Below are 13,303 nucleotides of genomic sequence, written 5' to 3'. Positions count from 1 at the left end.
GTATTGTGTATAGAGGCTTATTCTAGAAGCTACAAAGAAACAGAAGTAGTATATAGGAAATCACAGACTAGGAGCATCTCTTACAGCATGCAGATATGTGTGAAACACCTTAAAACAAACTACTGAGCATACAGACAAGTAAGAAATAAATAGTATACTTACATGTACCATGGTGTGACAGGGCTTCTTTTATCTGCATCCATGACTTCTATACCATTTACATGGTAAAAACTCCCATATCTTGCTGGCACTCTCCTCCTGAGCTCTAGACGTGTGTATTCACCACATTGACAGCTCCACTAGGATATTTCACAGGCATGTCAAGTGTAATGTTATCAAAGTTGGATTTATTTTGTCTTCCTCCCAATATGCTCCTTCTTTAGAATTATCTCTTTGATAAAGGACATCGTTCTTCTCCCAGTTGCTAGACATAGAAACAGTGAAGTCATTCTTGACTTCCCTCTTTCCCTTTCCTCTCTTGCCAGATATTTAATCTATCCTCCAGTCTCTCTCACTCATCTTTATACTGTAATCCAGTCTCTATAATCGTTTATTGGGGCATTTGCATTAGCTTCCTAAATGATCTCCTTGCTTCTAGCCCATTCCAACTCATTCTTGACTTGGAGCCAGAGTAATGTTTTAATTATACAAAATTGATTCGATCTCTTGTTTGTTTAAAAAACATCAGTGGCTTCCCATTATCATTATGATAAAGCATCACATTCTTAACATGGCCTATAACCTGTTGCATGCTCTGATCCCTGCATCATTCTCCAGTTTAGTCATAACTCCTCAACCACAAACTCCTATTTTCATTCTAATCAAACTAAATGTCTAATCACTAGGATACACTAGGATCTCTTCAACTTGTGGGTCATTGAACCTTCTCTTTCTTCAGTCTGGAACATTCTTTTACCCTTAGCCAACTTGTCCTGCTTATCTCTTATTCATCCACCAGAAAATAAGCTCCGTGAGAGCAAGTACCTACCTTGTCTTTCTTGTTTAACTGTGCCACCTAGCACTTAGAACAATCAATGCACAGATGCTCAACAGTACTTGCTGAGTGAATAACTAAATCTTTCAAGTCTCAGCATAAACATCATTTCCTCAAGGAGGCCTTTCATGACTCCCAGGAAAAAAAATAGATCTCTTTATTATATCCTCCTATAGCATTCTGTACATTGGCTATAACTTAGGAACGACTTCCAGGCAATACGTTGGAGAAGTTTGTTTTTCTTTTCTCAGTGATCACAGCACTGTGCTGGCTGTTGTCAAAGATTTGAAACGTCTTGTATATTTTGTCCAGGTTTTCAGTTGTTTAAGTCAAGAGGGTAATTCTGTTTCTTGTAATTCTATCTCAGCTGGAAGTGGAAGTTCCAGGTCACATAATTTCTCTTGGAATTACTCTATATTAGCATTCTCTGAGGTTTGGATTTTATTTCTCCCTGAAGTTAACCTTTTTCTCTTAGACCGCCTTAAACCTAGAAAGTTATCCATTTGGCTAAGACTTTGTTTTGTTTATTTCTGTATCCCCACAGCCCACAGCATCATGTGAAGAACATAATAGACACTGAATAAATTAAAGGTTGCATGAAACCTGCCCTGAACGTACCCTCCCTCATTGCATATCTGCTACTAGAACACAGGCCTGGGCAAATCACAATCCTACAAAAAATTGGTATGTTAGTTTTGGAAGTGAGAAAACTGCACATTTAATTTTTAGCTATATCGATTCTTTATCAGTTTATTCTTCATAATGATTATATCCTACTTATTATTTGTCACATTCCTTAGTTTTGAAATATACCTAATATTTCTTTTCAGTTATGATTTGCCAAGCACTATACTAAACATTAACTGATATAATCCTGCCAATAAACTTATGAGATGGGGCCTATTTTTGTTCCCACTTTATCGATAAGAAAAAGAGGCATTGAAAGATTAAACAAAATGTCAAGATAGCAGCTGAGAAGCAATGGAGCTAGGATTTGAACACAGAGAGTTTGAGTGTGCATTTTTTCTAAACTACCTAAACTGCTTTCTAGTACTTCTTGCTTCCAAGTAAGATTATAGATGGCTTACAAAAAAAATCTAGAAAACATATTATTAAAATAGAAATTTAAAATAAAAGTCATGGTGATAGGAAGCATATATTCCCTTAAGAACCCAAGCTAATATGTGCTACTGTAAAAGGACATTAACTTAAGTTTCAAGCTTTCCATCACTCAGGAGTAAAAAGGAAATTCAGTCAGTCAAATAAATTTCGTTTTATAATAGAACGAAGGACGCTCATTCATTTTCTAAAAAGAATTTGTACAGCAGGTTCTTATATAAGAGATATTTCACAACAAAAAATGTTTTTGAACATGGATTTTTTTTTACAAAATATTCAATAGCATGCCCTATATAAAGGTCATGCCTAATACTATTAATAAACTTCAGAGGTGTAACAGAAAAGCTCAGTGAAGACATATGTACAGGATATTAAGTAATGAGATTCAGGTAAATAGTCATCTATTGGTTTTATCTGGTCTGAGAATAGAACTTGGAATTCATAGAAAAGTAGAGAGAGGTAGTATGTCTTCAATTTCTTCAACTGTTAATAATCTCAGCTAAGATTGTAGCAACAATTCTGCAAGTAATATTTTGAGACAGAGCTCTCTAGTGAGTCAGCCATGAAGATATTCTGTTGATGCTGCTGCTTGCAAGAAAATTCATATGCTTTGAATATTAATGTACAGTTGGCAAAGTTGCCATTTATTATGACTAAAAAAATCCACCCTCAGTCTGCATAGAGTTAGGCTATGGGATGGCTGAAAATAGGCTCAATATTTTCCTTAAAAAGTAAAATAGAAAAGGTGGGTTTTAGCCAAGAAGATTCTATTGGTCTGCATGTCAGTTAAATGCATTAATTCATCATTCAACAAATATTTATGGAGTGCATGCCATGTGCCAAGTTATGTGCTAAGTTCACTGGTCACTAAGAAATTTTAGAGTATTTCCATGGAACATTTGATTTGGAAGGCGCTGCCTCTTGGTGGCCCTACCAGAACTGGTTAACTCATTTATAACTAACAGCCTAGCATAGCACTTTCCAAAATTTAGTCACCACCATAAGAATTTTAGCTATAGCCTTCTACTAGCTATACTATAATATTTTTCTCCACATTGACCACTTTTTTTTTACTTCTCAAATTTTGTTTAAACATAAAGTTAACTCCTTCCTATAATGGGAAACCATTATCACCTCCTAAAAGTAAGTACAATAGCTGACATTTATTGAATATTTTCTAGTGCTTCATACTATATTATTTTTCATGAATTAGGTCTTTGATCCTCACATGAACCCCATTAAGTAGGTACCATTATTAGACCCATATACAAATGACAGCAAAGAGACACAGAAGAAACCTACCCAAGAAATCAGTCAATAGTTAGCAAACCTGTATTTTTTTAATTCAAGCTGAGTGACTTCAAAGCCTGTAATGCCTAACTACTGTAGTATATTACTCTGTAAACATAGATACAAATGACAAACAAAACAATACTATTTAAATATAATTACATATTGTTGCCTGCTTGGTGAAGTTTTTGAGAGATAATCACCTAGTGCCAAACCAAGTGTTTATTTGATGCAAATAGAATTCACGGAGGATTGAAACTAGAATAACTTCCTGAAGTTTTCATTTTTTGTTGTGTCTCTGCCAGGTTTTGGCATCAGGATGATGTTGGCTTCATAAAATGAGTTAGGGAGGAGTCCCTCCTTTTCAATTGTTTGGAAGAGTTTCAGAAAGAAGGGTACCAGTTATTCTTTGTACCTCTGGTAGAATTCAGCTGTGAATCCATCTGGTCATGGTTTTTTTTTTGGTTGGTAGGCTATTAATTACTGCCTCAATTTCAGAACTTGTTATCGGTCTATTCAGGGATTCGACTTCTTCCTGGTTTAGTCTTGGGAGGATGTATATGTCCAGGAATTTATCAATTTCTTCTAGATTTTCTAGTTTATTTGCGTAGAGGTATTTACAGTATTCTCTGATGGTAGTTTGTATTTCTGTGGAGTCAGTGGTGATATCTCCTTTATCATTTTTTATTGTGACTATTTGATTCTTCTCTCTTTTCTTCTTTATTAGTCTAGTTAGTGGTCCATGTATTTTGTTAATCTTTTCAAAAAGACAGGTTCAGGATTCATTAAGTTTTTGGAGGGTTTTTGGATCTCTATCTCCTTCAGTTCTGCTCTGATCTTAATTATTTCTTGTCTTCTGACAGCTTTTGGATCACTTTGCTCTTGCTTCTCTAGCTCTTTTATTGTGATGTTAGGGTGTCAATTTGAGATCTTTCTAGCTTTCTAATGTGGGCCAATATCCCTAATGAACATCAGTGTGAAAATCCTCAATAAAATACTGGCAAACCGAATCCAGCAGCGCATCAAAAAACTTATCCACCACGATCAAGTCAGCTTCATCCTTGGGATGCAAGGCTAGTTCAACATATGCAAATCAGTAAATGTAATCTATCACATAAACAGAACCAAAGACAAAAACGACATGATTATCTTAATAGATCCGGAAAAGGCCTATGATAAAATTCAACATCCCTTCATGTTAAAAACTCTCAATAAACTGATATTGATGGAACATACCTCAAAATAATAAGAGCTATTTATGACAAACCCACAGCCAGTATCACACTGAATGGGCAAAAGTTGGAAGCATTGCCTTTGAAAACCGGCACAAGACAAAGACGCCCTCTCTCATCATTCCTATTCGACATAGTATTGGAAGTTCTGGCCAGGGCAATCAGGCAAAAGAAAGAAATAAAGAGTATTCAGAAAGGAAGAGAGGAAGTCAAATTGTCTCTGTTTGCAGACAACATGATTCTATATTTAGAAAACCCCGTCATCTCAGCCCAAACATTCCTTAAGCTGATAAGCAACTTCAGCAAAGTCTCAGGATACAAAATCAATGTGCAAAAATCACAAACATTCCTTTACACCCTAGACAAGCAGAGAGCCAAATCATGAATGAACTCCCATTCACAATTAACTCAAGATGGATGAAAGACTTAAATGTAAAACCCAAAACCATAAAAACCCTATAAGAAAACTGAGGCAATACCATTCAGGACATAGGCATGGGCAAAGACTTCATGATGAAAACACCAAAAGCAATTGCAACAAAAGCCATAATTGACAAATAGGATCTAATTAAACTAAAGAACTTCTGCACAGCAGAAAAAAAAAAAACATCAGAGTGAACACACAACATACAGAATGGGAGAAAATTTTTGCAATCTACACATCTGACAAAGGTCTAATATGAGGAATTTACAAGGAACTTAAAAAAATTGATAAGAAACAACTCCATCAAAAAGTAGGCAAAGGATATGAACAGACACTTTTCAAAAGAAGACATTTATGTGGCCAAAAAACATATGAAAAAAAGCTCAAAATCACTGATCATTAGAGAAATACAAATCAAAACTGCAATGAGATACCATTTCATGCCAGTCAGAATGGAGATTATTAAAAAGTCAAGAATAGATGCTGTCAAGGCTGTGAAGAAGTAGGAATGCTTTTACAAACTGTTGGTGGGAATGTAAATTAGCTCAACCATTGAGGAAGACAGTATGGTGATTCCTCAAAGATCTAGAACGAGAAATACCATTTGACCCAGCAATCCCATTACTGGTATATACCCAAAAGAATAGAAATCATTCTACTATAAAGACACATGCACCTGTATGTTTATTGCAACACTATTTACAATAGCAAAGACATGGAACCAACCCAAATGCCCATCAATGACAGACTGGATAAAGAAAAAGTGGTACATAAATACCATCGAATACTATGCAGTATTCGATGCATAAAAAGGAATGAGATCATGTCCTTTTCAGGGGCATGGATGAAGCTGAAAGCCATCATACTCAGCAAACTAACACAGTAACAGAAAACCAAACACCACATGTTCCCACTCATAAGTGGGAGTTGAGCAATGAGAACACATGGACACAGGGAGGTAAACAACACACACCAGGGCCTGTTGCAGGGTGGAGGGTGAGGGAAGGCAACTTAGAGGATGGGTCAATAGGTGCAGCAAACCACCATGGCACGTGTATACCTATGTAACAAACCTGCATGTTCTGCATATGTATCCAGGAAATTAGTGTAAAATAAAAATAAACAAATACAAATTAAAAAAAGAAACTAGAGTAACTTCCTCTATGGGATTCAAGTGTTATTTAATACCATATTCATGAACCATGTGAAATCAATTCATATACCACATAAAATTATACGTCCTATGCTTTGGGAAACAAAACTCCAGCATTAAGTAAAGTTAAATAGGGGCCCTTGTAACCGTGATGGCTCTAAGATGACCAAGTGTGGTCAAGTTTAGCCTTCTCTTCTTCACCTTCTAAACAGAGCAAGCAGATGCTGCTTAGTGTCCCTTCAACGGAAGCCACATTCTGAAATTTGCTGAGTAAAAAGATAGGAAGTAAATAAATCTTTGGGTCTTCAATTATTCATAAGTTTATTCATACAAGTTTACTGAGAAGTTACCACTTGCCAGAAACTGTTCTAGTTACTGAGAGTCAGTGATGAACATGACAGCTTCGTACTCCGAATTGATAAGAAATAATATCTAGAACTTGCTGTAGTTTTCTTAGCATTTTCCGGATATTTTCTTAGATATTCTAGTCAGCTATGGCAAGAGACAGAGGTGAATTGAAATTATCATTGCTCAAAATATTGTCTATGTACCACTGGTTGCTCTGAGTGATAGGGGGCAAATTTAATTTCCTATGGATTAAAAAGTATAACTAGCATATCAGACCTGAGATTTTACAGATGTTTTTACCCTAGGTGAAGTAAATATAAGTATTTACATTAAAAAGTAAGGTGCTTTTTTGTAACACTTTAAGTTACTCCAAAGAAAAATTTAAGTTGACAATAGAAAAGATCCTAAGTGGATATGGCAAATATGAAGATAACAGAAAATTGACTAAATTTCTAAAGTTTGAGAACCTCTGCCTCACGCTAATGCTGGGTATTATATATCTCATGTTGAACACCAGAATTTGACCTAATAATCTCTACAACACAGGAAGGAAGGGAGACATTCATTCTATCATTAGGGCTGGAGACAGAGTAGAGCAGGATGTCCTTGTGTTCCGTTCCTTTTAGAGGAATTTGATTATATTCCATTTCTTAGTGAGGGGAAAAAGCCTCTGCAGAAAACGGTCCTTCCTTTTCATCCAGGCTGCACATCTCTTTCTTGACCAGTATTTAGTACTAGTCCATATAGTAACGGACCTCACAAAAATGCCTAAATGGTGGATACAGTGGTATATAGAAGAAAAAAAGGATTTATCCTAGATTTTCAAAGTTTCTCTTCTGGATAGAGGTGGGATATAAACAAGGACAAAGAAGTAAATTGGTAGATTTTCATTTTTGGGCCAAAATCAATTTATTTTTTGCATTTAGTATTTTGTATTTTCAATGCTTTCCTATCCAGTTTTCAAGGTTCAACTTCTATTGCTGAGGCTGTTTTCACAGTAGATACAGTCTCCAGTTTGATTAATAAGTCCCAGTGGCCTTTTGTTCATGGAGTTGTCAGCTCTACCAAAGATAGGCAACATTTTTACCTGCTTTCCTCTAGTAGTCAGTTTTCCAGAATCCCTTCCTTAGGCTGTTTTTCTGCTTGGAATAACCTGCCCTACTAAATCTGCCTGTCCAAATCCTTCCTTCTGTGCTCTAATTAAATGCTGCATCATGGTGTTTTCAGCATGAATTTAGTAAATATTCATTTAATCAAGGAATAAATAATTTTAAATAAAATATAATTCTGTAACATAATTGCTTAATTTTGTATATTTGCCATTAAATGTCATTAAATTATAAATAATATTAAATACTATTAAATTATTCCTAACATGCCTAATAAGCCAAGAAATTTTAGCTAAAAGTATACAGTTTTTTTTAAGCCAGTATCCAGTAATACCAACACTTCTATGGATATATGAAAGAAAAGCATCTGGTTCTGTCTTGCTCCCTATGAGAGGGTAAGGACCCATTTGGGTGCACCTCCTAGCTGTACTTTTCGTATCAATTATGATGGATGTAGTCAAGAGGATCTATCCTTAAGTATGGGTTGTATGGATTAGAGCCCCAAAATATAAACTGGGCATATAATCAAAATCCATTTATTGAGCATCTATATTAGGTGTTTTTCATCCACTATCTGCATTGCCATAAAGGAATACTCGAGACTGGGTAATTTACAAAGGAAAGAGTTTTATTGGCTCTTGGTTCTGCAGGCTGTACAAGAAGCATAGTACCAGCATCTGCTTCTGGTGAGGGCTTCAGGAAGCTTACAATCATGGCAGAAGGGAAAGGGAGCCAGTGCGTCCCGTGGTGAGAGAGGGCAAGAGAGAGAGGAGGAAATTCCAGCCTCTTTTTTTTTTTTTAATAATTTAAAGATATCACTGTGAACTCAGAGTGAGCACTCACTCATTACTGCAAGGATAGCATCAAGCCATTCATGAGGGATCTGCCTTCATGAGGGATCTGCCTCCATGATTCAACCACTTGTCCTACCAAGTCCTAGCTCCAACATTGGGAATTGTGATTTGGAGGGGGCACACATCCAAACTCAGTATCAGTATCTCATGACAACAATTTTTCAAAGTAGGTAGAATTATTCTCATCATATGGAAATGGAAGTGAGATCACTTTCCTAAGGTCACTTAACTGTAATTGTCCGAGCCAGGGTATAAACTTAGATCTGTACTTGTACAGGCTTTATTTTTTGCATTTAGTATTTTGTATTTTCAATGCTTTCCTATCCAGTTTTCAAGGTTCAACTTCTATTGCTGAGGCTGTTTTCACAGTAGATACAGTCTCCAAGTTGATTAATAAGTCCCAGTGGCCTTTTGTTCACAGAGTTGTCAGCTCTACCAAAGATAGGCAACATTTTTACCTGCTTTCCCTGTACTTGTCCCATTACTTTACCCTGCTTCTTAAAGGTTTCCCGAAGACACTGTGGCTTTAGCCTTGGCTGCTGCTTAATGGGTAGTTTGAGAGCCAGCTCAGATCTCTGTAGCCATACACCCTTCTGACTCTAAGGACATCTCAGCTGCTTTGGTTGCCAATTAAATTATACATTCAACTTTGGGTTCTGATCATTGAAAGGCAATGTAATAAAAGAGGAAAACACTGGATTCCTGGGTTCAATTTTGTTAGAGTTCACAATTAACCGTATATTCACTGGATAGTTTGTTATTTTCTGACATCTTTCTACATTATATGTGACCTATTATTAGGTATATATTTTAGACCTGCCTCCCCTAATAAAATGACAGTTTGCAAGCACTATATTTTTCTAAATCCGAAGAGTTAAAACTTACACTACAACATTAAAAAACAGAGTATGTAATGAAATAATACTCCTGATAAACATTTATCTTCTTTCTTTTTTTTCTTGAAGCTCCAAGTCAGGCTGTCTCAGGTTGTTGCTTTTATATGCTATTGATTTCCTATTGTAATAATTGAATAATAGACTTTGACAGTATGCCTCTCAATACACTTCGGAAGGAAACTATGGCTGAGAGGAAAAGAGAAATTACTTGCCCATGATCACACAATTTATTTAGTGTCCAAGTCAGGATCAAAATTCTTATTTCTTTAGGAAATGGTATGTTTATTCCAAATTTGCCACCATTGGTTCTCCCTGGGCACTACTTTCTGAGTCTGTGGCATATTATTGTAAATACTCTCACTGGTGGTAAGTCAGAAGGCAATCTGGAGCCAAATTAGAGAAGAAAGTCTGTGACGGAACTGTATAATCACATTTGGAGTAAAAACCAATTCTTAATTACAATAGAATGAAATAGACTTTGTTCATATGAGGCCATAACATAAAGGTCTGGAAGCTAATTCCCAAAAACCAAAGGACAAAAATGTTTAGAGTGATAACAACATTGTTGTAGTAAGTGTCTGACTTCATAAGAACTACTTTAAAGGGATTAAAACTCATTTGGACATTAGGGCTCTGATATGCTTGTTTTAAAAAGATGTCTTAATAATGAAAAGAGTTTCAAGTCACCAGAAAAAGTATTATAATTTTTATTTAACTAAAAACATAGCTTCAAAATATATAAAGAAAATCATGACAAACTACAAGGAGAAACAAGCAAACATATAATCATAGTGGTATACTTTAAGATACTTTCTTAAAAACTGACCAAACAAGCAGACAAAAAAAAATCACTAAGGATATAGAAAGTTGAATCTCAAAATGGCAAACACATTGTTTTTGAAATAAATAGATGACTCGAAAACACACACGCGTGCGCACACATACACATACTCACATGCACACATACGCACCACACACACACAGAGACATGCACACATGCAATTGGGCACCACAAAAAGCAAGTCTAAATACATTCTAGAGGACTGAAATAATTTAGAATGTAGTTTCTGACCACAAAATAATTTTAAAAGATTTTAACTAGAAAAATCCACATTTGGAAATTCAAAAACTCCTCTAGTAAACATTAGTCAAAGAGAGAAGTATTAATCATGAAAATTAGGACATTTTTGAACTTTGTAATAAAAATACAACAATCAAAATTTCTATGATACTGCTAAGGTAGTACTTTAGAGAGAGAATTATCATGCTAAATGTATATATTAGAAAATCAAGAAGACTGGAAGTTAATGTGCTGAGCATTCATATTAAATTTTTTAAAATTTTTTAACTTTTGTAGATACATAGTAGGTGTACATATTTATGGGGTACATGAGATATTTTGGTACAGGCATGCAATCCGTAATAATCACATCTTGGAAAATTGGGTATCGATCCCCTCAAGCATTTACCGTTTGTGTTACAAGCATTCCAATTATATTCTTAGTTATTTTTAAATGTATGATTTAATTACTATTGACTACAGAACCCTGTTGTGCTATCAAATACTAGGGTTTGTTCATTCTATTTTTTTTATTTGGACCCATTAACCATCCCCACCTCCCCGCTGCCCACACCACCTCCCTACTCTTCTCAGTCTCTGGCAATTATCCTTCTATTCTCTATCTCCATGAATTTAATTGTTTTGATTTTTAGATCACACAAATAAGTGAGAATATGCGATGTTTGTCTTTCTGTGTCTGGCTTATTTCATTTAACATAATAACCTCCAGTTTCATCCATGTTGTTGCAAATGACAGAATCTCATTCTTTTTATAGCTGAATAGTACTTCATTGTGTATAAGTACCACAATTTATTTATTTATTTATTTATTTATTTATTTATTTATTTATTTATTTTCTTTCTTTCTTTTTTTTGTGGAGATGGAGTCTCTGTCACACAGGCTGGAGTGCAGTGGCACGATCTCGGCTCACTGCAACCTCCACCTCCTGGGTTCAAGTGATTCTCCCGCCTCACCCTCCAGAGTACCTGGGATTACAGGCATCTGCCACCACCCCTGGCTAATTTTTTTGTATTTTTAGTAGAGACAGGGTTTCGCCATGTTGGCCAGGCTGGTTTTGAACTCCTGACCTCAGGTAGTTGGCCTGCCTTGGCCTCCCAAAGTGCTGGGATTACAGGCATGAGCCACTGCACCCAGCCCACAGTTTCTTTATCCATTCGTCTGTTGAACACTTAGGTTGCTTCCAAATCTTGGTTATTGTCAATAGTGCTGCAACAAAAATGGGAGTGCAGATAACTCTTTGATATACTAATTTTCTTTCTTTGGGGTGTATATCCAGCAGTGGGATTGCTAGATCATATGGTAGCCTATTTTTAGTTTTTTGAGAAACTCCAAACTGTTCTCTGCAGTGGTTGTACTAACTTACATTTCCACCAATAGTGTACAAGTTCCCTTTTCTCTACATGCTCGTCAGCATTTGTTATTGCCTGATTTTTGTATAAAAGCCATTTTGACTGGAATGAGATGATATCTCATTGTGGTTTTGATTTCCATTTCTCTGATGATCAATGTTGTTGAGCACTTTTTCATATGCTTTTTGCCATTTGTATGACTTCTTTTCAGAAATGTCTATTCAAATCTTTTGCCCATTTTTAATTGGATTATTAGATTTTTTTTTTTTTCCTATAGAGTTGTTTGAGTTCCTTATATATTCTGGTATAATCCCTTGTCAGATGGGTAGTTTGCAAGTATTTTCTCCCCAAAATTTCTTTATTCCCTTTTAGTCTGAATGAAGTGCTTTGGTCTCCCCAGACTGTTATCTCTATCTCCTCAAATCAAGGAGATTACTAAGGTCCTTTCACTTCATCGTCTGTGTGTCATGACCTATAAACTCTGTTAATGCAGAAAGCTGAAAAATTACAGTGCTCACCTTATTTGGTTGTCATTTCTCTGTGTTCACTGTCCTTTATTGTCTGGTTGCTCAAACCATTGTAAGTCGGGGACTATCTGTAGTTACCATTTCCAGTACTCTATATTATTTCATGTTGATACAGATTTCTATTTGTTATTATTTTCATTCTGCCTTAAGGACAATCTTTAACATTTCTTATAGTTCAGGTATTCTGGTGATGAATTATTTGTCCTTCTGTCATTTTGAAAATGTTTTTATTTCATCTTCATTTTTTGAAAGATATTTTTACTGGCTATAGCATTCTAGGTTGACAGGTTTTTTCTTGTTGTTGTTTGTTTTATTCTTTAAGTACTTTAAATATGTTGCTCCTGTTGTCTCACTTGCATTGTTTCCAGTGAGGAATCTGAAGTCTTACTTATCTTTGCTCCTCTGTAGGTAATGTGTTTTTCTTCTCTGTCTACATTTAATATTTTCTGTTTATTATTGGTTTTGAGCAATTTAGTTCCTTGGTATAGTTTTCTTTATGTTTCTTATGCTTAGGATGCTTTGAGCTCTTTGAATTTGTGTTTTATGGTTTTCATGAAATTTGGAAAGTTGTCTGCCATAATTTCTTCAAATATATTTTTCTGACCTTTCTTCTCTCTGTTCTAAGACACCAATTATCTCTATGTTAGGCCACTTGAAGTTGTCCCAGAGCTGACTGATGCTCTTTTCATTTTTTTGGATTCTTCTTTCTCAGTGGATTTCATTTTGGATTGTTTCTAATATCACTCCTTCAAGTTCACTAATGTTTTCTCTTGCATTGTCTAATCTACTGTTAAACCTTTGTGTATTTTTTGTCTCACACATTGTAGATTTCATCTCTAGAAATTCAATTTGGATATTTTAAAATATTTTTCTTGTCTCTCTTAGAACATATGGAAGTACAGTATGTCATTCTTTGATAATTCTAA

At 35.3% G+C, this 13,303-nt stretch overlaps 1 protein-coding gene across 14 annotated transcripts in view, besides 1 other annotated feature; it reads left to right on the top strand.

Moving 5' to 3' along the window:
- Positions 1–13,303, top strand: part of HPSE2 (heparanase 2 (inactive)) — an 858,875-nt gene that overhangs the window by 436,537 nt on the left and 409,035 nt on the right. The gene's annotated exons all lie outside the window — the stretch shown is intronic.
- Positions 4,866–5,066: a silencer, noted in NCBI's record as "peak1065 fragment used in MPRA reporter construct". NCBI's record gives its function as "represses an SCP1 promoter by STARR-seq MPRAs in K562 erythroleukemia cells {active_cell/tissue: K562}" and the evidence as "EXISTENCE:reporter gene assay evidence [ECO:0000049][PMID:32103011]".

The sequence above is a fragment of the Homo sapiens genome, chromosome 10 (genome assembly GCF_000001405.40).
Source record: "Homo sapiens chromosome 10, GRCh38.p14 Primary Assembly".
Classification (NCBI taxonomy): domain Eukaryota; kingdom Metazoa; phylum Chordata; class Mammalia; order Primates; family Hominidae; genus Homo; species Homo sapiens.
The sequence above is the reverse complement of the archived record's forward strand: the minus strand, read 5'-3'. Positions and strand labels throughout refer to the sequence as shown.